The 26,690-nt window shown below is 47.6% G+C and overlaps 1 long non-coding RNA gene across 1 annotated transcript, besides 2 other annotated features; it reads left to right on the forward strand.

Moving 5' to 3' along the window:
* Window positions 3,167-3,461: an enhancer, noted in NCBI's record as "tiled region #11336; HepG2 Activating DNase matched - State 12:CtcfO, and K562 Activating DNase unmatched - State 12:CtcfO". NCBI's record gives its function as "activates a minimal TATA promoter and a strong SV40 promoter by Sharpr-MPRA in HepG2 and K562 cells {active_cell/tissue: HepG2 | K562}" and the evidence as "EXISTENCE:reporter gene assay evidence [ECO:0000049][PMID:27701403]".
* LINC02437 (long intergenic non-protein coding RNA 2437) lies at window positions 8,519-24,951 on the forward strand. Its single transcript, XR_001741949.1, has 2 exons — window positions 8,519-8,638; window positions 23,672-24,951. It is a non-coding gene; the product is annotated as a long intergenic non-protein coding RNA 2437 (long non-coding RNA).
* Window positions 24,281-24,340: an enhancer, noted in NCBI's record as "active region_22245". NCBI's record gives its function as "activates an Ori minimal core promoter by ATAC-STARR-seq in GM12878 lymphoblastoid cells {active_cell/tissue: GM12878}" and the evidence as "EXISTENCE:reporter gene assay evidence [ECO:0000049][PMID:35858748]".
* Window positions 24,952-26,690: the final 1,739 nt, after the last annotated feature.

Consider the following 26,690-nt stretch of genomic DNA (forward strand, 5'->3'; position numbering starts at 1 on the left):
CAGCGCTGCCAGGGGCTAGGGATTGCGGCAGGGGATTGACCACAAAGGGTAGCATGGGTGAACTTTTTGGAATGATGGGAAGCTTTTTTATTATGGGGGTGGTTACATGACTGTATACGTTTGGCAAAACTTATCCAGCTGTCTACCTTATAAGGATCAATTTTATTGTATGTAAAGTATACCCCACCTAAATCTGACCCGAGAAAAATAATAATGTAATGTAGAATATTCCTTTTATGGATCTCTATTTGAATATCTATGAGTATATCCTTTGGATATATTTCCAGAAGTAGAATCATCGGATCCAAGTGCATGAACATTTTAAAATCACACGTGTATTTTTACAAGGCCTTCTTTGGAGGCAGTGCTTTAAAGGAGTGTCCACGGGGCTTTCAGGAATCCTGGCACATGGAAGGGAGCAACCACGAGTGTTTTGCAGAAGTGAGGGAGGGCAGTCCTGTTGCTGCCTCTTACATCCCACCACAAAACATAGGCGACTATAGGACCTCTCTGCTTCCTGACCTCTGAAGTGTCAGGAATAAGCTGCCTCATTGACTCCCATCACTCCACCCCAAAGGCCAGAGCTCAGCACTGCCCAGCGTGGTACAATTGAACTTCCTGCCATGGCGGGAACTGTTCTGCATCTGTGCTGTCACATACACTAGCCACAAGTCACTACTGAGTACTGGAAATGTAGTTAGTACAAATGAGAACCTGAATTTATTTTTTTCAAGTTTTGTTAATTAAAAATTAAATTTAAGGCCAAGCGCAGTGGCTTATGCCTGTAATCCCAGCACTTTGGGAAGCTGAGGTGGGGAGATCACTTGAGGTCAGGAGTTCGAGACCAGCCTGGCCAACATGGTGAAACCCCATCTCTAGTAAAAATACAAAAAATTAGCCAGGCGTGGTGGCATACACCTGCAATCCCAGGTACTCAGGAGGTTAAGACAGGAGAATCGCTTGAACCTGGGAGGCTTGCAGTGAGCTGAGATTGCACCACTGCACTCCAGCCTGGGTGACAGAGTAAGACTCTGTCGCTAAATAAATAAATAAATAAATAAATAAATAAATAAATTTAAATAGCCACATAAGACAGGGCACAGTGGTTCATAGCCTGTAATCCCAGCACTTTAAAAGGCTAAGGCAAGAGGATTGCTTGAGGCTAAGAATGTGAGACCAACCTGGGCAACATAACAAGATTCCCATTTCTAAAAAATAATTTAAAAATTAGCTGGGTGTGGTAGTGCATGCCTGTAGCCCGAGCTACTTAGGAGGCTGAGGCAGGAGGATCACTTGAGCATGGGATGTTGAGAGAGCAGTGAGCTATGGCCACACCACTGCACTCCAGCCTGGGCAACAGAGCGAGACCCTGCCTCTAAAAAATGAATAAATAAATAAATAGCCAGATGAAGCTAGTGGCTACCATACTGGACAGTGCAAGTCTACAACTCTAGACTTGCAGGAGAAATGGAAGGACCAATAAGTAGCTTGGCAGCCAGCATCCAGTGAGCCAGCTATAGGGCCCACTCTGACTCTCTCTAACCTTGCTGTGAACACTGGGCCTTCTGCCTTATACCCCAGTACCAGGAAACAGAGTCCTGTTTTGCTCCTCATGCTGGAGTATCTGCCTCAGTTCCCTGCCCCTGCTCCAGAGCTCCTGCCCTGCTCCCTACACCCTTCCCCGGAACGGGAATCCTGACCTTAGACCCCTTTGCAGGTTTGATGCCAGTGCTCCAGGTAACATCTGGATGCACCTGGCATCCGCCTCTGGCCCTCTCGGGCTGTCTGCCTCCTGCCTGTATGGGTTTCCACATTCTTTGCTGCCAGGACTTGCCTCTGTGGGAGCGTGGATGGTTCAATCAGCATTGGAAGCAGGATCTTTATGGTGGGTAAAAAAAGCTGCACCTCAACCCTTGCCACTGTCACTTATTACACTTGCAAAGAGATGTGAGGATCTGGTGGCAACTCTGACTTCAAATAGCTCACACAGCCTTTAAAAGCTCCGAGTGATCTGCCTGCCTTCACCTGTCTCGAGAGCTTCAGCTACTCCCCAGCCTCCAAAAATCCCCAAATCTCTCGCCAAGTTGGACTGAGCTCCACTCCTCCATTTCCAGCAACCTGGACATCCCTACTAAATTTTCCACATGTGCCTCCAGCCCACAAGCCTCAACACAGAACTCTCAGCTCCCTCAGAAGCACCCGTGCAATCTCCCAAACTGGCAAGCTGAGAGTCATCCCTCCTCCCTGTCTTCCTCCATCCCCAGCCAGCTGGTCCCCAAACCCATAGACACTGGGTCAGAAATAAGATTTGGGCATCCTGCCTGACTGTCTCTGAGGCTTCCACCTACTCCCTGGGCTTATTGCAGCCCTCCACCAACAGACTTCCTTGCCTCCAGCCTCCAGCCTCCACCTCTCCTGCCCTCCACTCTGCCGCAGGGTTGCCTTCCTGAGACCAATCTGTTTAAGGCCATCAAAGGATCCATTCAAACCCTGCAGCCCTCAGTGTCTGACCTGCAGGCCAACTGTGCAGTTCTTCTCCCACCAGCCTCCCAGCTGCAAGCCCTCCAGCCACTCTCCAAGGTGTGCCTGCTGCACCCTTCACACTCTGTGCCTGATGCTAGCGTGCCTCCCTTTCTGGCAAGCTCACTCATCCTTTGAGGCCCTCCAGGAAAGTTTCCCCAGCACAGCCACATCTCTTTCCCCCAGCAGCCACATCTCTTAAAGCCCTTGCACAATTTTTCATTTCTCCACGAGTGTGAGTGCCTCCCACTAGACCCTGAGTTCCTAAAGGGCAGGAATCCAGACAACAGGCTGATGATTAAGTGTGGGCTAGTAGTGGGGGTGCCCAGAGCTGTGGCTCCCATGGGACCCTAGAAACTAGACATTAAGTAATAAAAATGGCTTTGGATCGTTACAGTTAGGAGCCTACCCCGAAAGACGCCTAGCATCCTGTTTCTCCGCATCATCCTCAAAGAACCGTCTCCATGGATCTGACTCAGCAGTGGTCCCAAGCACAGGTCTGGGGCGGCTCCCGGGAGATGTGTGCCCGCTCACCCACCCTCCCGAGACCGTCCTGCAGTTCAATCACGCTCTGCATCTATTCTAGGCCACGCTCATTTCCTGTGGTGGAAATTGGTTTTTGACAGTGTTCCTTTCCCATTTAATCTCTCCATGTTAATTACAGCCAATCCTCTTAGCTCAAGGATGGCTCTTCCTCTGTGTCAGACGAGTGGCTCTGCCAGCACACAAGCCCCGCCCCTTCAGGAAGCCCCGCCCCTCCACGGCCCACCGGGCAGGAAGCTTCCCACTGTGGCTGACTCTTCCCCGCACCTGCACTCCGGGAAGGATGTGCAGGGACGCAGCCCTCCAGATGGGCTTTGCAAACCAAGGGGACACCTAGTGATAAAAGGGATGAAAAGCAACCGTGACAGGCCCAGAATGTTCTTTTGAGTCTTTCCTTTTTCTTTATTTTTCAGGGTTTGTAAAATGTATTGTTTAGGATGAAGCACTACAGATCAGAGCCTCACCACGTGTTTTCGATCTGGTGTTTCTAGGGAAATTGGCTTTGATCGCCGTTTCAACTGCATTGGATCTATGAGGGCGTATTTAAAAACAAAACAAAAAAGCTTCTTTTCAGAATTCTCCATCATCATCCTTAAAACGTATTTTTAGACATCTTATAATTTGCAGGGCACGGTTAGTACTTGGCAAAATAGAGGCAACAAGAAGTTGGGGAAGGAATCTCAGCTCGTGTTCAGAAACTGCAGTTTCATTCCGGCCCCATGGCATGTCTCTGTGGCTTTGGGAAAGTCAGCCATCTCTCTGAGCCTCAGTGTCCTTAGCTGTCACATGAGGCTATGGAACTACAGGATCTAACATTGTATAAATGGGTGATAAATAGTCTTGCAATTGATTATTATATAGACGTCTTGGGGGCTGGTAGAAATGAGAGGGGCTGGAGGTGGAAGAAAAACAGAATTTGTCCTTGGTAACCTTTCTGGTGCATGAGCACTAGTCATGTGGGGACCAGGGAATGGACACCCGTTTCCATTTTGCAAGGCTACCTATGAATTATGCATGTCGTACACACAGGCAAAAGGGATGGATAATTACCAGTTTGACCTCTGAGAAGAGAGACACTGGGTGAAAGGAATGTTGTTTGCTAGAAAGGGTAGAACAGGGGGTTTTCAGATCTGTTTAATAAAGGAACTTTACTAATCATCTAGTCTACACCCACCCACCTAATAGACAAATAAAGCAACACTCAGAGTGATTTAAGTGATTGGATCAAGAGCACACCATTAGTGGTAAAGTCAGAGGAGTCCAGTGCTAGGAAAAGCCATTCTAAATAACAAGAAACCCATGGCTTTTACAACCAACTCATGTGATGCTAGACAGTCTGGTTTCCACATCAATGTTGACAAAAGTCATGTAAAGCAACGTAAAAATGTGACAAATGTTACCAACCATTGTCTGTGCATGCTTCAGTCATGCGCAGAGCCTTGGATATCCTTGAGAGAGCAGAAGAGAGACATGGTACCTAGGTCCCCAGGGAGAGGGAGAGGCAATTCTTGGGATGCTATTTGTTTCTTGGACACAGAGTCTAACCAAGGACCGAGGCCCGTGTCCTCTAGAATTTTGGACTAAGTCACAAAACTTTTTATTTTAAAATTTCTAATATTTGTATCCAACAAATAGAATGCCTATACCACTGAACTTTTCTCCCCAAGTTTTTGCATAATGAAAGAGGTCAACATTACTAGCCTCATCTCTTCACTCTCCTCCTCCCTCACCTTCCACTTGCTGGTAGCCTCCTTGTCCCTCCCTGAAGATGGCAACCACAGCGTCTCCGCACCTCAGCACCTACACGCAGGCTGCTCCTCTGCTCAGGATACTCCAGAATCTACCCCATCCACTTCTCGGTCATCTTCAAGTTTCTGCTCAAATATCATCTTCACTGGAGGCCTTCCCTGACCATCCTATCTAGGATACAACCCCACTCCTGGTTCCTTTTCCTTTGCATTTTTTTTTCCTTGACACTCATCACCTTCTAATATTTTCAGTTTTGTGTGTCTCCCTTCAAGTGTGTAACCTTCATGAAGATCAGGGCTTGGCTCTGTTTTGTTCCCTGTGATGCGCACAGGTCCCAGCATGGTGTCTGCCAGATAGCGCTGGATATTTTTCTGAGTGCACACAAGCTTTTCTTCACTTTCTGGTTTTTGTTCCTGCTTGCCTCTGCCTTCTAATCTCTTTCCCAGACTTGCTCAAGTCTCACCCCCTAACTAGAAGTGGATTCATTAACTTCACAGCTAAAAGAGCATCGTTTCCAGTGTCCTCACTTGAGAAAACCAAAAAGGCTAACGGCACAGACCCAGGACTTGAACTTGGATGTTATGTTGCCTCCCAGCCACGGCTCTCCCCACAGTCCCGGATTCCTCCAGCCTGGTGTGCACCTTCCTTCTTCCCCCAGGTCTGGCCCTGTCTACCTGTATGTGCCACGCCTTCTTACACCTCATCTGAGCAACGCTGAATCCTGATTCTGCCACAACTTAAGCATGTGGCCTTGGACAAGTGACTTAACTTCTCTCGGCCTTGGGCTTCTGCCTTCTCAAGGGAAGAGTAACATCTACCTCAGAAGATGTTCACAAGGCTCAATTAAAATGAAGGAAGCACAGCCCTCTCCTGGCCAAGGCTCAGTGCCTGGCTGTTCCTTTTCCTTTCTCTGGCTTGTGCGGAGATGGTCATTTGCTCAACAGAAATGTTAAGTTTCTCAAGGTCTCTCTGTTGTCCCCATCCCCAGGCCTAAGCTCCTAGAAGACAATGAAGAAATCCTTGGGGAATGAAAATGAGTTTTAAAGGGAGGATGGCAGGAAGAAGGGCCTCTATAAGGTGGGCATCTCACTATCAGGGCTGGCTCATGGATTCTAGCTTGCAGGCCTGGCACCCCTTAAGATTAATGATGAAGATGAACAAGGCCTCCAAGAGGCCAGGTAAGGCAACATGAGACATTTTCCACCTTTCTCAGGGGGCAGCTTGTTGGCAAAACATCTCAATTTCAAAAGTCACCCTCAAGGTAATGGAGCAGGAATCCTGATTTCCTTAGAGACTACCATGATGAGCATTTCTCAAAGTCCGCTCTTCAGTATTTAAAAAGAAAAAAACAAGCGAGGGTGTTCTGTGATTTTTAAATGGTTTACAAAATACTAGGTTAAAGAGTTACCCAACTGCATTTATGCAGGACTTCTCAGAGACTTTGCCAAGTTTATGTACATTATGACTCTCCAAGAGGGATGGAGGTATATGCACGCTGAAACAGTTTCCCAGTGTATTCGGTCAAGATACCCTTTCTTTACAAGGAGCAGCTGTTATGCTATACACCACATTCTATGGAAATCCAGCTCTAGACAAACTCAGATTGGGGCATAAAAGCTGAACCTGGAGAAATGAAGTGGCTTAGCCAAGGTTAAACAATGAATGGCAGAACCAGGGCCGCAATCCACTGCCTGGTGTGATTCCCAGTGCTCTCCCTTCTACATGGCACTGAGGTTGGTGAAGGCCTTCAAATCAGACCAGCTCTAGTGACAGAGTCTGGGGTTTTCACTGGAGAAAATAAACTGGCATGAAATGTAACCAGCGAGATGGCTTACTAGTGATAAGAAAGTGTGCATGTGAGTGTGTGTGAGTGTGAGTGTGCGTGTGAGTGTGGATGTGTGAGTGTGCATGTGAGTGTGAGTGTGCATGTGTGTGATTGTGGATGTGAGTGTGCATGAGTGTGCATGTGAGTGTGTGAGCGTGAGTGTGCGTGTGTGATAGTGTGAGTGTGCGTGAGTGTGTGCATGTGTGGAGTGTGCACGTGTGTGAGTGTGCCCGTGAGTGTGTGCATGTGTGTGAGCGTGAGTGTGCATGTGTGATAGTGTGAGTATGCGTGTGTGCATTTGAGTGTGTGGAGTGTGCACGTGTGTGCCCGTGAGTGTGTGCATGCCTGTGTGAGTGTGCATGTGAGTGTGCGTGCGTGTGTGCATGTGTTTGTGTTTTGCAGGAGTAGCAGCAACAGCACTGAAAGACCTATTCCCACTCAAGATGGTTGTATGGTCCCTGCAAGCTCTGGTGAAGGAGGATCTCCCCCAGCCCTCCCCTGGCTTTACCTGTTTCCGGGAATGGTGGGTGATAAACTGAGCTTTCATCAATGGTGAGTGCACACCCTGGCCCAGTGTGGAAGGCTGAGTACAGCCCCTAAAGATACGCATGTCCTCATCCCCAGAACCTGTACATGTCACCTTATATGGCAAAAGAGACTTCGCAGATGTGATGAAGTTGAGGGTTTTGAGATGCAGAGATGCTCCTGATTATCCAGGTGGGCCCAGTGTCATCACAAAAGTCCTTGTGGGGAGGTGGGGGAGATCTGATCACAGAACAGGAGTAGGGACTGTGATGATGGTAGCAGAGACTGGAGGGACAGTTTGAAGGCAGAAGAAGGGGCCACAAGTGCAGGAATCAGGGTGACTGCTAGAAGCTGAAAGGGCAAAGCGATTCTGCCCTGGAGGCTTCAGAGGAGGCCAGTCCTGCCAACACTTCTACTTTAGCTCCATGAAACCGATTTTGGACTTCTGAATAAATTTGTGTCATTTGAAGCTACCAAGTTTGTGTAATTTGCTACAGAAGCAATAGAAAATGAATACATGCAGTATGATGAGAACATTCCCAGTCCACTCTGAGAAGGTTGTGCCGCCCAGATGAGTGCTGGTGACAGGGAGCCCGGGGTGGTGTGACAGGCTCATGTATGCAGCTGGGTCACCCCACATTCTGGGAACCACCCAGAGGTTTGCTCCGAGCATTGTCCTCGGTCACAGCTTCCTATGGAGAGAGTGGGGCCACATCAGTCTCCCACTCAGAGGTAAAGACATCTGTGTCTCCTGCAACGTCATCAGTTTGTCCCTGTGGCAAGCAGCAGGGAGTGACTGATTTGTGACACCACGCCTTACCTGTGTGACTTTCAATGATTGTTTTCCTAGGCAGCATTGCAGCTGAGCCGTCGGGCAAATGAGAGCCAAGCAAGTTGGAGCTGCCCGGGAACTGGATGTGCTTGCTTAGAAAACATTTCAACATTTCCAAGGGTATAGTTTCTCCCACATACTCTGGAACGCTTGGAAACCACTTTAATTAGCATTGTTTGCCTGTCTGGCTGCCTTGGGTCTTTGGTTTGCTGAGGGCTGCTTGGAGGCTATGCCCTCCTCTCCAGCCCCTGCGTTGGGAAGTCACAGGAGACCGGAGCTGCGCACGACATCACAGCGCCGAATTCTGACCCAATCTGAATCAAATGTCACCCATACCCTGTCTTCAACCAACAAAAGAGCAACGAAGCCAGAGACATCATCTTCAGCTGCCTTGGCCTGTAAGGAATTCATTCTGACTTGAGAGGTGCTTTAACACTTTCACATGTAATTGTGTCCAGAATTGGTGGGTTCTTGGTCTCACTGACTTCAAGAATGAAGCCGCGGACCCTCGCGGTGAGTGTTACAGCTCCTAAGGTGGCGCGTCTGGAGTTTGTTCCTTCTGATGTTCAGGTATGTTTGGAGTTTCTTCCTTCTGCTGAGTTCGTGGTCTCACTCGCTCAGGAATGCAGCTGCAGACCTTCACGGTGAGTGTTACAGCTCTCAAGGCAGAGCGCCTGGAGTTGTTCGTTCCTCCCGGTGGGCTCGTGGTCTCACTGGCTTCAGGAGTGAAGCTGCAGACCTTCGCAGTGAGTGTTACAGCTCATAAAAGCAGTGTGGAGCCAAAGAGTGAGCAGTAACAAAATTTATTGCAAAGAGGGAAAGAACAAAGCTTCCACAGTGTGGAAGGGGACCCCAGCGGGTTACCAATGCTGGCTCGGGCAGCCTGCTTTTATTCTCTTATCTGGCCCCACCCACGTCCTGCTGATTGGTAAAGCCGAGTGGTCTGTTTTGTCAGGGCGCTGATTGGTGCGTTTACAATCCCTGAGCTAGACACAAAGGTTCTCCAAGTCCCCATCAGATTAGTTAGATACAGAGTGTCGATTGGTGCACTCACAAACCTTGAGCTAAACACAGGGTGCTGATTGGTGTGTTTACAAACCTTGAGCTAGATACAGAGTGCTGATTGGTGTATTTACAATCCCTGAGCTAGACATAAAGGCTCTCCAAGGCCCCACCAGACTCAGGAGCCCAGCTGGCTTCACCTAGTGGATCCTGCACCAGGGCTGCAGGTGGAGCTGCCTGCCAGTCCCGTGCTGTGCGCTCGCATTCCTCAGCCCTTGGGTGGTTGATGGGACTGGGCACCGTGGAGCAGGGGGCGGCGCTCATCAGAGAGGCTCGGGCCGCACAAGAGCCCGTGGAGGGGGTGGAAGGCTCAGGCATGGCGGGCTGCGGGTCCTGAGCCCTGCCCCCCCGGGAAGGCAGCTAAGGCCCGGCGAGAAATCAAGCGCAGCGCCGGTGGGCCGGCACTGCTGGGGGACCCAGTACACCCTCCGCAGCCCTTGGCCCGGGTGCTAAGTCCCTTATTGCCCGGGGCCAGCAGGGCCGGCCGGCTGCTCCGAGTGCGGGGCCCGCCAAGCCCACGCCCACCCGGAACTCCAGCTGGCCCGCAAGCGCCGCACGCAGCCCCGGTTCCCGCTCGCGCCTCTCCCTCCACACCTCCCTGCAAGCTGAGGGAGCGGGCTCCCGCCTTGGCCAGCCCAGAAGGGGGCTCCCACGGTGCAGTGGTGGGCTGAAGGGCTCCTCAAGTGCCACCAAAGTGGGAGCCCAGGCAGAGGAGGCGCCGAGAGCGAGCGAGGGCTGTGAGGACTGCCAGCACGCTGTCACCTCTCAAAATCACTACCTGCGCCTCAGATTTGACAGTGAAGTGTTAGGGGTTAGATTATGCAGTGTCAGGGCAGGCTATATGGAAGTGATAATGATGTCATAAATGACAAGTTGCATTTCTTTCTTCCAATGACATACTTGCAACTTAATCAATTGCCTTTTTATTTCCCCCAATCCACAGATTTGTTAAACTATTCTATCAGATGAATATTTTGCTTATGTTTTATGCAAAAGAGGACTCACAGAATCTGAAATGTGAAACACAGGAAACTGACGTTCAATGGGCAGGCTACACAGAGGCTGGTGCAAAGCCATCACCTCTAAATTAGAACTAAATTACTAAATTATAACTAAAACTATAAAATAGACTCAGGCTGTTGAAACCATTGAAAGCAGCACACGGCATTGTTAAAGTCATCAACTACTATATTTATTAAGTGTTTTTGGGTTTTGTTTTTCTTTTTGAGACAGGGTCTCACTCTGGCACAATCTTGGCTCACAGCAACCTCTGCCTCCCAGGTTCAAGTGACTCTCCCACCTCAGCCTCCTGAGTAGCTGGTACCACAGGCACACATCACCTGTGTGCCTGGCTAATTTTTGTATTTTTCCGTAGAGACAGGTTTCACCATGTTGGCCAGGCTGGTATCCAACTCCTGACCTCAAGTGATCTTGCCCACCTCAGCCTCCCAAAGTGCTGGGGTTACAGGTGTAAGCCACCACACCCAGACTATTAAGTGTTTTTATAAACGCTTAGATTTTAAGAAGTGCTCACATTTTGAACTCTAACAGAAAGCTTAGGGATAGACAGGCTTGGCGACAGTTTGGAGAAAGATTCAATGTGAACAGATAAAACCTTTCAAGGTGGCGATGACTGAAGGTATTACTACAAAAGACTGTAGGATGAGTGCCTCAAATGTAATATGCCTATACCATAATGACAAAAATGCGAAGAATAAAAGATAGTAAAATAGTGTTTTAAAAGTTAAAATAAGGATAGAGTAAGAAACAAACTAGGAAGTGACAGGAATGACTCTAACATGTACTAATATTTGGACTACTAATGGCTAGAAATCACCAGCGAAGGTTGATGGAGTATTTGAGAAGCTGGAAAAAGAATCTTATAACCACTATCCGAAGAAAAGTTTGTCAAGCAAACATTGATATTCTAACAGAAAAAGTTTTCATATGAAATCCTGAAACTGGGCTTTCTGATGGTAAAATATGCATTATTGGATTCTAAATATATTCATTCATAGAGGACTATATTACCCTCAACTGTTAGCCTTCAAGAAATCGAACCTTACTTAAATACTGCTAGATAACACCAACAAAACTGAAAACCAATTAACTCTTTCTAGAGCTCTGTTTGCTATTAAAGCGATTCAACATGAATGATAAATTTAGTAAGTCAGCAAATGCGGTAAATTCAATGAATTTATCATCAGGCAAATTTTATTTCTGCAACATTAAATCTTGGCAAATCGTTTCTTATTAAACTGACCTAACATCAACCAACATCCGCCACACCCTTTCACAAATGAAAGATACCTAATTATAGGGTAGTGTCGTTGGCAAAAGACAAATAAGTATATGTATGAATTGACCACAATTTATAAACAATGTGTCCCATTTCAGCGTGGAGCCATCCTGCATTAGTTTTCACTAGCGCTTCCTTAGTGTGGCAAGCCGAACTACCGGAGTGTTAACCCGGATGGTGCCGTGAACGAGGCCACACAGGAACTGGGTTTCACCCTTGGAAGAAACACACAGCCTTGGACATTCATCTCCTGCCTGTTAGTTTCTTAGGGCTGCTGTAGCATGTTACCACAAACTGGATCAGACTGCAGACATGTGTTCACTGACGGTGCTGGACACTGCAGGTCCAAAATGGAAGTGTGGCAGGGCCAGGCTCTCACCGCTCCCCGCCGTTCAGCTTCTGTGTGGCTGCAGCCCTTGGTGATCTCAGCTGGCGATGGCGAAACTCAGCCTCCGCCTTTGCTGTCACATGGTGTCCTCCATGTCCTCACGCCGTCTTCTTTGAGGACTCTGGTCATATCGGATGACGGGTCCACCCTGTTCCAGCATCACCTTGTCCTAACGAATCACATCTGCAGTGACTGTACTTTCAAGGTTAGTTCTTGGGGACAGGACGTCAACGTATCCTTCCGAAGGACACAATTCACCTATAACACATCCTTGCCTCGACTTCCCAGACACACACACTTAGTGACAGCACACAGGAATCCTCTCACGGACCTTGTCATTTCTCACTTTCTATTGTATTTGGAAACTATTTTTAAATGATAGATTGTACATGCCAACACTCTTGACTAATACAAAAGCAGTTTTGATTGAAGTCGGCTTTGGAATGTCTCTTACTGGAAAATATGGCTAAAATAGAGTATTTTATTTCTCTGCCCCTTTAAATCCTTTTTCTGCAGTGGTTTTACTTTCCTCAGCAAGCTTACAGTCCATATTCTCTAACAATTCCAATTTAGTATCATTTATGTCTTTTCAATAAAATTATTATAGATATCACCTAAATGCAACATAATTGTAAGGCTTATTAAGGCTTATTATGCAAACAAATTCGCAAAGAATAAAACCTCCTTTGTTGAGGGTCCCAGTTTGGAGATCAGAATATTTTTCTCTAGCCTGATTGAGATAAAAAGTAAGAGGCTGGGGAGAGTTAGGCAGGGGGTCTGTAGGAGGGCGTTGACCTCTGCAGAGAAGGCCAGTGTGACAGGGAAGCAAGAACGAGCTACAGCAGCATCCAGCCCTGTCCCTGTGGGTGCCACACCCCTGACACCAGGCACAGTGATTTTACAGTCATGGAGTTCTCTGAGAAAATATGTCCCTCCCACTTTTCTTCCTGGTAATTAAATGTCAGAAGAAGAAACTTGAAACCAAGACTAGAAAAGGAAATAGCCCAAGAGTTGGCACTGGGATACAAAAAGCCCACTAGCTGAGATGAACCCAGCAAGGGGGCACGCCAGGCCAGAGAGCTCCCATGACCCTGGTACCAGGCTCCCCCTCTGCCCCGCCACAGAGCTGGGCTGGGCTGGGGACTTCAGAGGACATTTTCACATAACAAGCCACGTGTCAAGAGGACATAGAAGGAAGAAAAATTCCAGATATGACACGAGAGAGAATTTTCTCCCCACAGAGAGACTGGAGAAGGGACACCTACATGGTGAAGAAAGGAGAAGGAAGAGAAAATATCTCTGAGAGGTGGGGCAGCCCCTCAGCAATCCTGACACGGAAGCTGTGTTTGCAACAGAGAAAGAGGCAACAACTAACAAGGAGTTTGGGAGGTCAAGATCATCCCAGCAAACATCTACTGGGCATTAGCAAGGTCCTGGGCACTGCTTTAGAAACTTGGGACATCCCTGTAGGAAGATGTGGCATCTGGTCCGCAGGGGCTGACTGTCAGACTTGAGAAAAGGTGACGGCACTGCAGGACGATTCCTGCCATGGAGTCGTGAAGGAAGGGCAGTGGGAGGCGCATGCCGAGCATCTCTGAGGTGCCTCCCCGAAGGCACATTGGAGCCACGTCCTTTGGAAGAGGAAGCATCTGCTAGAAGGACAAACGGAAGAGGGGTGCCCTCAGTAGAGAGTGTCGCAAGCAAGTCCGTGCTGTGGGAGCATAGATTGCAGGATTGAAGACACCACAGTGGGGACCTCAATGAAGGGCCGTGGCCCGAGGGGAAAGATACTAGGCTTTGTTCTACAGCCCACGGGGAGCTCAGGACAAGTTCTGCTGAAGAAAGCATGATCCGATCTGTGGGACGCAAAGTTCTGTTCGGATTTTTTTGAAGGCCAGCATAGATGGGGAGAGGATGGAAGCAGGAGGCTGGAAATTGGCCCACGGCCTCTCTGCATCTGAACCTAGGTTTTGGCAGCATGACTGGAGTGGGAAGAGGTGCTGCTTAGAGGGCAGGGGTGAATATATTTCAGAGAAAGTGTCAGCAGTGTTGGAAAGTGGGGGGCAGAAGGCCCCCGTGATAACGCTTTTCTCTCTGGGCAGTCGTCCGCAGTGCTGCAATCCACTGAGACGTGAAGCGCAGGACAGAAATCCTGGCGTGTCCTGAGGTGTGGAGAGGAAGAAGACGGATGCAGGCCCGAAATGCGGAGCATGACAGATCTGCCAAGGGCATAGCCAAGTGGGGGAGTGTGTCTGGAGGTCAGGAGGAAGCTCTCCAGAGAAAGAATGGGCGAGAGAACTTGGCACAAAGAGCAGGGGGATGACGGCTGAAAACCTGGTTGTGAGCAAAATCATTCAAGCTGAGTAGAAAGAGTAGACAAAGAACCTTGATAGCAAGGCCGGAATCCTGGGGATACAGCTTTAAAAGACGACAGAGGCAAAACCAAAAATTCACAAAAGAGGTTGAGAAGAGGCCAGAAATACCGTAAAGACCAGGGAAGTGGTGTCATGAAAACCAAGAGAGTAAGGAGTTCCAGCAAGGAGGGGCTCACCTGTACCAAGTGCCAAAAGAACTCAGAGGGCCACTGCATTTGACCACAAAGACGTACGGGACACTTCTACTGGTTTGGTGAAAATGGAAACCGAGGATTTCAGCAGGGGTTGTAAGCAGAAGAGAGGTGGACACAGTGAGTGGAGACAGAGAATGGAACCCTTCTTTTTTTTTTTTAAGACAGAGTCCTGCTGTGTTGCCAGGTTGGAGTGCAGTGGCACAATCTCGGCTCACTGCAACCTCCACCTCCCAGGTTCAAGTGATTCTCCTGCCTCAGACTCCTGAGTAGGTGAAACTACAGGCGCGCGCCACCATGCCTGGCTAATTTTTGTATTTTTAGTAGAGACGTGGTTTCACCATGTTGGCCAGTCTGGTCTCGAACTCCTGACCTCGTGATCCACCCATCTCGGCCTCCCAAAGTGCTGGGATTACAGGCGTGTGCCACCACGCCCGGCCTTTTTTTCCTTTTAATATTACTTTTAATTGACACATAATAATTATACATATTTATGGGGTACAGTGTGACAGTTTGATACATGTATATATGTGCAATGATCAAATAGCATAATTAGCAGATCCATCACCTCGAACACTTATCATTGTGTTGGGAACATTCAGAATCCATGGAGCTCATTCTTGCCAGGGGCTTGGCTAAGCAATCAGAGGGAAATAGAGCGCTAGAAAGAAAACCAGAGGCAAGAGAGGGAATTTTATTGTTGTCTGTTTCAGGACGTGAAAACGTTGAGTGTGTTTGTCTGCTAAGGGGAAGGGACCAATGAGGGATAGAGAAGATGACATGGAAAAAGACGCGTGACTAACGGAACCAATTCTTAGGAGCAGAAACTAAATGGGACCCAGAGCACAGGGGCAGGGCAGGAGGCAGTGGGAGGAGAAATTCACCTTAGAGACGGAAGGGGCCCTTATCAGAGCGATGGAAGAAGGTGAGAAGGAATATAACATAGACAGGTGAGTGGGTGGAGCAAGAGAGGAGAGTTCCTGACGGCGGTGATTATTTTCTTTGTGAAGTAAGTCACAAAGGCACCTTGTGAAAAGAGGGTGAGATCATCTGGAGACAGTACGGAGCAGTGTGGAGCGGCCGCTGTGGAGATGAAGAGTGTGTATGTGAACATTGCTAAGAAGTGGGCAGTGCAGGCCGGGCGCAGTGGCTCACACCTATAATCCCAGCACTTTGGGAGGCTGAGGTGGGTGGATCACCTGAGGTTGGGAGTTCGAGACCAGCCTGACCAATATGGTGAAACCCCGTCTCTACTAAAAATACAAAAATTAGCTGGGTGTGGTGACATGTATCTGTAATCCCAGCTACTCGAGAGGTTGTAGCAGGAGAATTGCTTGAACCTGAGAGGCAGAGGCTGCAGTGAGTGGAGATCACACCACAGCACTCTAGCCTGGGCAACAGAGTGAGACTCTGTCTCAAAAAAAAAAAAAAAAAAAAAAGGAGTGGGCAGTGCAGTTGGAGTCAAAGCACTGGGGCTCCCATTCACGCTGAAGTATGGTTCATCAGCATCATTCAGGTTCCTGGTATAAAGAAGGAAGATGTAAATCTGAATTTACTCCATGTTGCTGAGTAAGGTGGCTCACACCTGCAGTCCCAGCTACTTAGGAGGCCAAGGCAGGAGGACTGCTTGAACCCAGGAGTTCAAATCCAGCCTGGGCAACATAGTGAGATCCTATCTCAAAATACATAATAATAAATTAATTTACTCCATGCTTGGTGGTTTGCCAAAGAACAGAGGGCAATGGAGTGGAGGGAGCTGGTAAGAGAGTGTTGGAATTGCTGTTCTGTGGGGTCTGGGCTAGAAAGGACAAAAGTGAACATAGGAAGTGGTTCATCAGACTTGGAGGATGTGGGGGAGATGGGATGTGAAGTGGTGCTTTCTTCACAGCATTTGCCTTGGTTGTAACTAAGCCTTTAGTTAAGTCATCATTGGATCACTGTGCTCTGCCCCAGGTGCAGGTCTTTGTGAGAAGGGACCATGCCTGTGTGGTTCATCGCTGTATCGCAGTCCCTTGCACAGTCCCTCCTACACACCGGGTGCTCATTAATTTTTTGTTGAATATTTAATGAGAGAGCTGGAAGGTCTGGGAGAGACTGGATTATGGCAGAGAGGCATATGGACTCCCACAGGTGGAGTACTTCCAAGGGATGATAGATCCAAGCCATGGAGGGAAAGAGGCGAGATGCAGCAAGGTGACCTCAACAGAGCCATGTCGAGCTGGGGAGAGGAAGCACAGGCAGAAAGGAGAGAGGGAACAGCAGTCAAGGGGCTGGAGACCGTGGGGATGAGAGGCCAAAATTAACTGGCCTCAGGTTGCTAGCTAGAAATTTATCAAAAAAAGTATTAGTTTGGTGCAAAAGCAATTGTGTTTTTTTACATTATTATTATACTTTAAGTTCTAGGATACATATGCAGAAGGTGCAGGTTTGTTACATAGGTACACACGTGCCATGGTGGTTTGCTGCACCCATCAACCAGTCATCTACATTTGGTATTTATCCTAATGCTCTCCCTCCCCCAGCCTCCCACCTCTTGACAGGCCCCAGTGTGTGATGTTCCCCTCCCTGAGTCCATGTGTTCTCATTGTTCAACTCCCACTTATGAGTGAGAACATGCAGTGTTTGGTTTTCTCTTCCTGTGTTAGTTTGCTGAGAATGATGGTTTCTAGCTTCATCCATGTCCCTGCAAAGGACATGAACTCATCCTTTTTTATGGCTGCATAGTATTCCATGGTGTATATGTGCCACATTTTCTTTATCCAGTCTCTCATTGATGGGCATTTGGGTTGGTTCCAAGTTTTTGCTATTGTGAACAGTGCTGCAATAAACATATGTATGCATGTGTCTTTATAGTAGAATGATTTATAATCCCCAATGGCAAAAACCACAATTACTTTTGTACCAACCTAATACTTTAGTGCTGAAATTGAGGTACGCCATGGCTTGCAGGAGGCTGTACTTGCTACTTATATCTGGTTCTGGTAAGTAGAAGCAAGAACTAAGAGAGGTCATCCAGGCCAAAATAATAAGCAGAAAGAAAAATATTCTGCCCGTGGACACATCTCAATGTTAGGCAGAAATTAACTGAAAATCAGTTATGGTGCAACTGCTTCATTTTATCTTTTCAGAATTCCTTTTTCAAAATACTTTCCCTCCTGCATGAGTATTCTGAGTTGGGTCTGCCTTTGCTATTAACATCTGTATAATCAAGTTTATGGTCTAATTGGGCAATCACTGCAAACATTTCTGGGTAAAAAGCCATGCATTCTAGCATTATTTTAATAAGCCTCTGATCCAGTTAGTTCTAGTCATCCAGTGGTTTATTTTGTACTAAAGAACCAGCTTTTAGATTTGGCACTACCTTTTTCCATTTTCTAATTCAGTATTATCTGCTTTTATCTGTGTTTAATGTGTCCCCTCTTTTCTTGGTGTATTTTGTTGCACTCTTTTCTTTTCTTAATTTTTTGAGTTGGATACTAATTCACCTTTTTTCCATTATTCCTTTTTGGACTGATTTAAATACTTAAGACTAAAATCTCCCATGAGCTCTGCCTTATTTTTTACAGGTTTCATAATTGCTGTTTTCTAGAAATTTTACAATTTTTGATATCTATATCTTCTTTATATCAAGAGTATTTGGGCTGGGTGTGGTGGCTCACGCCTGTAATCCCAGCACTTTGGGAGGCCGAGGTGGGTGGATCACTGGAGGTCAGGAGTTCAAGACCAGCCTGGCCAACATGGCAAAACCCCCTCTCTACTAAAACCACAAAAATTAGCCGGGCGTGATGGCACGCCTGTAGTCCCAGCTACTTGGGAGGCTGAGACAGGAGAATCGCTTGAACCTGGGAGGTGGAGGTTGCAGTGAGCCAAGATCCCACCACTTCACTCCAGCCCCAGCATGGGTAACAGAGTGAGACTCCATCTAAAAAAAGAGAGTATTTGATAAAAATGGTTTTAAATTTTTTTAAATTGAAAATTCCAAACATAAACAAAAGTAGAGAAATAGGATATAGGATTTCCATATACCCATTACACAGCTCAATGATTATCAATATATGACAAATTTTGGTTCATCTTACTGCAAATCCCAGATATCTTATCATCTTATTACAAACATTTCAATATGAAAATAAAGATTTTTGAATTTCCTAGTGGAAGGGAGGTTTTTTTCTGGCGTTATTGTTAATGTCTGATGTTATTACGTGATCATCAGAAAATATTTCCTGTACTATTTATACTCTTGGAATATCTGTCATTCACAAATGTAACCTGGACATTTAAAAAGTTCATTTTCTGTTTCCAGGGTACAGTTTATTTAATATATATCAGTTAGATTTACCTTACTTAATGTTACAAACTAGAAGAAGTAGTCTACTAATGTAGTTTCTACCTTCTCCCTTTATCTCTTGTAATTTCTACTTTGTTAACCAAGTTGCTATGTTATTGATGCATAAACACCCATTACAATTATATATTCTTAATAATTACACCTATTTGCATTATAAAGTGCACTTATTTAATGTTTTTTTTGGCCTGAATTCCATCTTGTCTGATATTAACATTGAGACCTCTACTTTCTATTTGTATTTGCTTGTTATACTGTAGCTTGTATTTTGTTTCCAATTTTGATCATATCATTCTTCTGAACACTTTTATATATAAGCAATCGTATCAGTCAGGGTTTTTGGTTGCAAGCAACAGAATCCACTTTAGTGATTCTGTTAGAAATTTATTTAGAAAATAAGTTTACTAAAGGGTATTTGATAGCTCACAGTATTTCAAGGAGAGCCAAAGAATTTGTCCAGGGGGCTATGAAGCCAGGACAATATCCATTCACCCCACAGAACTTCTCTCAGGCATGGCCCATCACACCTGGGCACTGACCCTGCAGTTCACACCCCTAACACTGAGCAATGGAGGACTAGATGAGAACCTCTGCCACTGCTATTCTGAAAGCTGGATTTCTCTCCACCACAACACACCACTCCTTCCAGGAAGAGACTCCACACAGCTCTCCTTTCTTATACTGTCTTCTTCCAAATAAAAGTCTGACTGACAGAACCCAGGTCAATTCCTCTGCTCTAGCTTCTAGGGAGGCTGGACATTGAATTGTAGCTTCTAGGGAGGCTGGACATTGAATTGTAGCTTCTACCTTCAAGAGGAGAATTCATAATATGGGGATTTCTCCAAGACATAGAAGACCATGTTTGTCACGAATATGATAAATACCTCTACATTAGTCTTACTGTAGTTTCAGATATAGATACTTAGCTCCTAACTAAAAATAGTTCAAGAACCTATAACCAGATATTCCCCTGATATAATTTTGTAGGTAGTTGGGGTTTTTTAAAAAAATGTATTTGGATGCATGCAGGAGGTTGTCTAAAAATGTCCCTACCTTTACCAGAAAATAATCTGTGATCACAAGTTTTGCCTTTCTTGCTTCTTTTAGGATCATGTCTTCCTCCCCGTTTCTATGTCCTGAGCTCTCTTTTTTAAAATATTTTAATTTTTATGTTTTAGAAACAGGTCTTGCTATGTTGCCTGCTTGGTCTTGAGCTGCTGGCCTCAAGCAATACTCTGCCTTGTTCTCCCCACGTGCTGGGGTTACAGGTGTGAGCCAGAATGCCTGGCCCTATAGCCTAAACTCTTATTCTAAGCTTACAACTTCTTACCCAGGATACTAGAATCTTTTCCGATGGCTCCCACCTTTCTTCTCCTTTCTCCAAGCCATCCTACCGAACTCTCTGGCATTATGTTTTGTTTTTAGACAGAGTCTCACTCTGTCACCCAGCCTGGAGTGCAGTGGCATGATCTCGGCTCACTGAAACCTCCGCCTTCAGGGTTCAAACAATTCTCGTGCCTCAGCCTACTGAGTAGCTGGGATTATAGTCATGCACCACTGCACCTGGCTAATTATTGTATTTTTAGTAGAGTCAGGGTTTCACCATGTTGGCCAGGCTGGTCTCAAACTCCTGACTTCAGGTGATCCACCCGCCTCGGCCTCCCAAAGTGCTGGGATGACAGGTGTGAGCCACTGGACCCAGTCCTCTGGCATTATGTTTTTGCAGTCTGGGGTCAGAGTCCATGCTTTATGTAATCTTTTAGCTCTTCTTGATTTTGCAAAGGCATGCTGTGTGGCCATGTGATGCTGGGCAATGTTGGGTCAGGGAATGCAAATATGAGTAAGGCAAAGCCCAATATCAAGAGGCTCTCAATCTCGTGGAGAAGACAGACAACCAAATAGGAAAATACAACCTAATTTAAAGTGCTACAATTGTGGTACATAGAAAGGGTAGAAAGAGGCTGGGCACGGTGGCTCATGCCTGTCATCCCAGCACATTGGGAGGCTGAGGCCAGTGGATCACCTGAGATCAGGAGTTCGAGACCAGCCTGACCAACATGGAGAAACCCCATCTCTACTAAAAATACAAAATTAGCCGGGCATGGTGTGGCGCATGCCTGCAATCCCAGCTACTCGGGAGGCTGAGGCGGCAGAATCACTTGAACCCGGGAGGCAGAGGTTGCGGTGAGCCGAGATTGCACCATCACACTCCAGTCTGGGCAACAAGAGTGAAACACCATCTCAAAAAAAAATACCTAAGCCAGCCTGTTGGGCAGAGGTGGTCTAAGGGGACTCCTGGAAGAGGGCGCCTCTGAATAGGGTGTTGAAGGATGAATTGGATTTGCCCAGGAAAGAAGGGCATTATAAGCATGAGAAACTGCCTGTGCGGAGGCAGATAGGCACAGGGCGTTGAGTGCTTGGAGGGAAAACTACGAGTACTTTAACACTGCAGGCCGCCTGAAATAACACAGCAGGAGAGGACTGCTATCTCAGGGCAAGGCACGACACGAGAGGAGTCGGGATACTTTTCTTAAAGTCAATGGAAGCAACTGAAGGCTATTAAGCATTTTAGACAGATCACCCTAACACCAGTACGTAGTAGCTTTCTGGTGATGGGCAAAAAAATAAGGCGACTCTTGCAGAAACCCATGAGAAATTGTGGGGTGTCAGTGTGGTGTCTGCGGGGGTCGGAGTGAAGGGGTGTCAGGAAGGAATCAACAGAACTTAATGTCTATGGATTGTGGTCAGAGCAGAGCGGAAGTCAAGAACAACTCAAGCATTTCTGTCTGGAGTGTTTTGGTGAAGGAATTCTAAATCGAGGCTGTTGGAGAGGGAGTGCTGTTTAGGATGTCCCAAATTTGGGACATCCAGGTGGAATGGCCTGGCAGGAATCTGGATTTAGGAGACACAGGTGGAGGCTGAGGCTGTGGGGTGCTGCTTTTCAACCCTGGCTGCACACTGGAAACACCTGAAGCTCTGACAGCCTCTCATTCTGGGCCCCACCCCAGAGCGTCTAATGTCACGGGCCCGGGCCTAGAGGAAAGCTCCCCAGGGGACTGGAGTGGGCAGCCTGGGTTGAGACCCACTGGCATAAAGAGAGGGGTTTCAAGCCTGCGGGATGCCCCTCCCCACTCTAGGATTTACCAGCCAAGTGACCCTGGGGAGGTCATTAGCCTTATGGTCTTAGTTTCCTGCACTAAAAAATTAAGATTGTACCTCTTCAAAGAATTATGAATATTACGTAAGATAACGTGTGTGAAGTGCCTAAGCCCATTCCTGGCACATACTGCAAACCAGATATGTGTCGGGATTCACTCCCAGAGCAAGTCTGAGGAAGGACATACTCTCAGCCTGCAGTCCCAAAATGGAACCAGGCTTTCTGTTTAACAGAAAGGGAAATAAGGAATCTCCCAAACCTGTCATCCACAGGACACCTCTCTGTGTGCATACCGTCCGGCTGGCTCCGACCTTCACAGAGCAGCCTTTAGAATGTAGCACAGGACACGGAAGTGTCGCAATGCCTCAGCCCTGACAGCAATGATCCAACAGCCGTGGCTCGCACTGAGACACAATGCTGGGATGCAATGGAGCCATTCACTTGTGTAGCCCCTAAACCATGATTTAGAAAGCACCGTGTGTGCAAGGAAGGGCATCTATCAGTCCTTCCTTCATCCTTTCAACCAACATTGTTCGGTCCTCGCTCTCTGCCAGCCACCACACTAGGTTCTGAGGGGGACATAATAGGCAGGAAAGAAATGGTCTGTGCCTCCGATGGGGACAGACCCATGTCCTCGACACCTGTCTAGTCCATTCCCTTTTCAGCATCAAAGCAGCCCCCATTATTTCCACCTCCATCATTTCCCTCATGGGTTTTGGCAAGAGCCTCCTAATTCTTTCACCTGTCACCAGTAGCAAGCTCTTCCAATCCATTCTGGCATCAGATACAGATTACTTATCACGTAATCCCTCAAATAAATGTTAACTGTGACTATGTATGACAACAGAGGTACCTGATGCTATGGGACCATATCTTAGGGGGCTTCGATCAAATAGAGTGGCCAGAAAGGCTTCTCCGAAGAAGTGACAGAAAACTGAGAAGTCAGTGCAGACACAAGTGGAGACGGGTTGGGGAGACTCCTCAGGCCTCACAAGCCTCACCCGTCAGCTATTCCACGCTGCCAGGCCCTTCTTTGCACAGCTCCCTCCACTTGACGTACCTACAGCAAAAGCAAGTGGTGCTTAGAGCAGGTGCCCCTCCTCAGCCAAGACTCCCTTCAGCACCGTCCCTCTCGAGGTCACTTCTGACCACACCTGCTCCCCAGTCATCGCTCCCCCGTGTCTCCGCCGGGTCTATCACCAAACCTCTCACCCAGTGCAAGACCCCGAGGTGGCAGATTCACTCCCACTGGACGGCATGCTCCTCACAGGTGGGTCTGCTTACCCCTCTATCCAGTAGCGAATGCAACGCCAGACAGAGGTTTGTCTTCAGGGATGGACTTACACGATTGTGGAGGCTTGGCAAGCCCCAAATCTGCAGGGTAGGTGGGCAGGCCGGAGACCTAGGGCACGGCTGCTGTTGCAGCTTGAGTCCTAAGGAAGTGAGTGTGGAGGCAGAATACCCCTCCTCAGGGAACCTCAGTCTTTTTCTCTTCAAGCCCTCAACTGATTGGACAAGGCCCACCACATTCAGAGGATAACCTACTTAAAGTCTACTGATGTAAATGTTAATCTCATCTTAAAATACCTTCGCAGCAACACCTGTGCTGGTGTTCTACCAAACATCTGCGTACCATGGTGCAGCCAGGTTCACACAAAAAATTAAGCATCACCCCAAGTAAAAACAGCCTTTGGTGATGATGTGTGAAGTCTTGAGACCTGCTTATGATGTGTTTATCTTCTCCATTCTCTTCCTTTTCCTCCCTCCTTTGTCTGCTCTCTTTCATGCCTCTCCCTTTTCTTCCCATTTTCCCCCTTTCTTTCCTCCTGTGTGTGTCTCCCTCCCTGTGGTTTCTTCCAGGTGTGCCGGGGGTCCCGTCAGCTGCAGGACACGGGAGGGATGGAGTGAAGCAGAAAGGCCCCGCCGTGACCACACTCATCCCAGAAGAGCCTCTCTGTTGGCATGAAAGGAAATCACAAGGAAAGGGACTTTTCAAGGTCAGACTGCACCAGTGGAAAGTCAGCACCAGCCCCCAGGGCTCGAGGCAGCCTGTGCCCTTTCCACTAACTGTGCCAACTCTCACCAGGGGAAGGCTGACCAGGAACAAAGGCCCTTAGAGGAGAGCAGAACTCCTGCAGCCTGCACTTCCGAGAGATCCTGCTCCACGGAGCCCGGCTCTACTCCTGCAGGCAGAACCTGCCAGCCCGCAGATGCTGGGGGCTGAAGGATCCCGGCGACACCAAGCGTCAGGTCAGGCGTCAGAATCCAGCGCGTTTGCTCCTCGAGAACAGCGCGCCACCTGCTCCCAAGTGTGTGAGGGGCTGCAGTGCCGAGCTCCACTTCACAAGACTCACTCCTGCCCCGCCACCTCCTGAGCAGACGCAGTCAAGCCCGACCTACCTTTCAACAAACATGTATTAGCACTCCCTCCATGCCAGGCACTGTGCCAGGTGCGAGGGTACCATGACCAAGCCAAGGCCCCAGGCTCAGAGCACTCACACGCCAGTGGAGGGGGCAGCCCTGTGCGACCCAGCAGGGCACACCCCACCTCCAGCCTAGGCTCCACCCAGGCCTGATCTGGGTAGCCCGGCGGACGTACTGACTCCCTGTTCACCGATACCGTCATCCAACCTTCCTATTTATTTATACATTAAAACACTGCAGCCAGAGCGGCGAGGTGTCCCGCCAAGAAACGGCCAAATCCAGTTTCCTCCCCAGCCAGCCTCTCCTTAGAAGCGGCAGAACCGCTTCAACCACTAGAGGGCACCAGCCAACCCTCGATGGATCCAAATGTGCCCACGTCGTGAGGGAGCCTCAGCACCGGGTCGCGGCTCCCAGCTCCACCGTCATAGAACACGAATAGCTTTTGTCTTTTCTCAAAATGAGCCCTGCAGTTGAGGCAAGCTTTACATTGGCTGCACAGACTTTACTCTTTTTAAACATTTTTTGGGAGTCCATAGCAGATGTATATATTTATGGGGTATGAGATGTTTTGATATAAGCATACAACTCATAATAATCACGTCAGGGTAAATGGGGTATCCACCCCCTCAAGCATCTACTCTTTCTTCGTGTGACAAACAATCTAATTATACTCTTTCAGTTATTTTTAAGTGTACAATAAATTATCGTTGACTATAGTCACCCTGTCATGCTGTCAAATACTGCATCTTATTCATTCTAACTATACTTTCGTACCTATCAACCCTCCCCACCTCCCAACCCCCCATCCTACTGCCCTTCCCAGCCTCTGGTAACCGTCTATCTACTCTCTATGTCCACGAGATCTTTTTTTTTTTTTTTTTTGAGACAGAGTCTCCCTCTGTCACCCAGGCTGGAGTGCAGTGGCCCGATCTTGGCTCACTACAACCTCCGCCTCCCAGGTTCAAGCAGTTCTCCTGCCTCAGCCTCCTGAGTAGCTGGGATTACAGGCACCCGCCACCACGCATGGCTAATGTTTGTATTTTTAGTAGAGACGGGGTTTCACCATGTTGGGCAGGCTGGTCTCAACCTGCTAAGTTCAGGTGATCCGCCTGCCTCGGTCTCCCAAAGTGCTGGGATTACAGGCATGAGCCACCGCACCCATCCAATTGTTTTGATTTTTAGATCCCACAGAACATGCAAAGTTTGTCTTTCTGGGCCTGGCTTATTTCACTTAACGTAATGACATCCAGTTCCATCCATGTTGTTGCAAATGACAGGATCTCATTCTTTTTTTATGGCTGAATATTGCTCTATTGTGTATAAGAACCACATTTTCTTTCCTTTTTTCTTTTTTTGGACAGTCTCCCTCTGTTGCCTAGGCTGGAGTACAGTGGTGTGAACTCAGCTCACTGCAACCTCCACCTCCCAGGTTCAAGGGATTCTTGTGCCTCAGCCTCCCAAGTAGCTGGGATTACAGGCATGCACCACCAAGCCCAGCTAATTTTTGTATTTTTAGTAGAGACGGGGTTTCACCATGTTGACCAGGCTGGTCTCAAACTCCTGACCTCAGGTGATCCGCCCATCTCGGCCTCCCAAAGTGCTGGGATTACAGGTGTGAGCCACCACGCTCAGCCCAAGAACCACATTTTCTTTATCCATTCATGAACAGACTTTACACTTGAGCCTGTAAGTTAAGGGGTGAGGAAGTCAAGCTATCCTAATGCAGAGAAAAGAGACCAAAGATTGCCTTATTAATACGTTACCAGAAAAATGATATAAAAGATTTTTTAAAACCTTTGCTCATTATCCTAACTGCCAATGTCTAATGTCAATACACAACCACACATAACCTCACATTATTGACAAGCTGCTGTATAGCAATGGTATCAAATAAATGCAGGACCGTGGACCAGTGCATCCCAGTGTGCATCAGAATCACCTGAGGGGTTTTTCTTTCTTTTTTTTTTTTTTAAGAAACAGATTCACATCTACAGAGATTCTTTTTAAGTCTTAGGTCTGTGATGGGCTCTAGAAATGTGTGTTGTCAAAAGGCTTCTGGTGTGTAAAAGGGTATCAGAAATGGGGAGAACAGACTGAATTTGAATATTTGATGACTTTTTGGTGATTTGTACCTTTGGGCATGATAAGAAGGACAATAAATCTCCAAGGTCCCCAGGCATACTGAGACCATGCTCCCCTGCTTTACTACCCAGCAGCTACACTCGGTCTTTGGAAGGTGAGTGCAAGTCTCTTGGCTGAGAAGTCCTTCCTATGACTTCTAATCTCAGTGGGATTGAAGCGACAGCAAGGCCCAGCACACTGCTGGAAGGGACACTGGTTTTGGAGTCAGATCAGCCTCATCCGGTACCCTGCTCCACCACCTAACAGTTATGTGCCCTTGAGTCAAATGTCCTTGAGTTCCCCAAGCCTCAGTTTTCTTATGTAAAATAAACGA

The sequence above is a fragment of the Homo sapiens genome, chromosome 4 (assembly GCF_000001405.40).
Source record: "Homo sapiens chromosome 4, GRCh38.p14 Primary Assembly".
Taxonomy (NCBI): domain Eukaryota; kingdom Metazoa; phylum Chordata; class Mammalia; order Primates; family Hominidae; genus Homo; species Homo sapiens.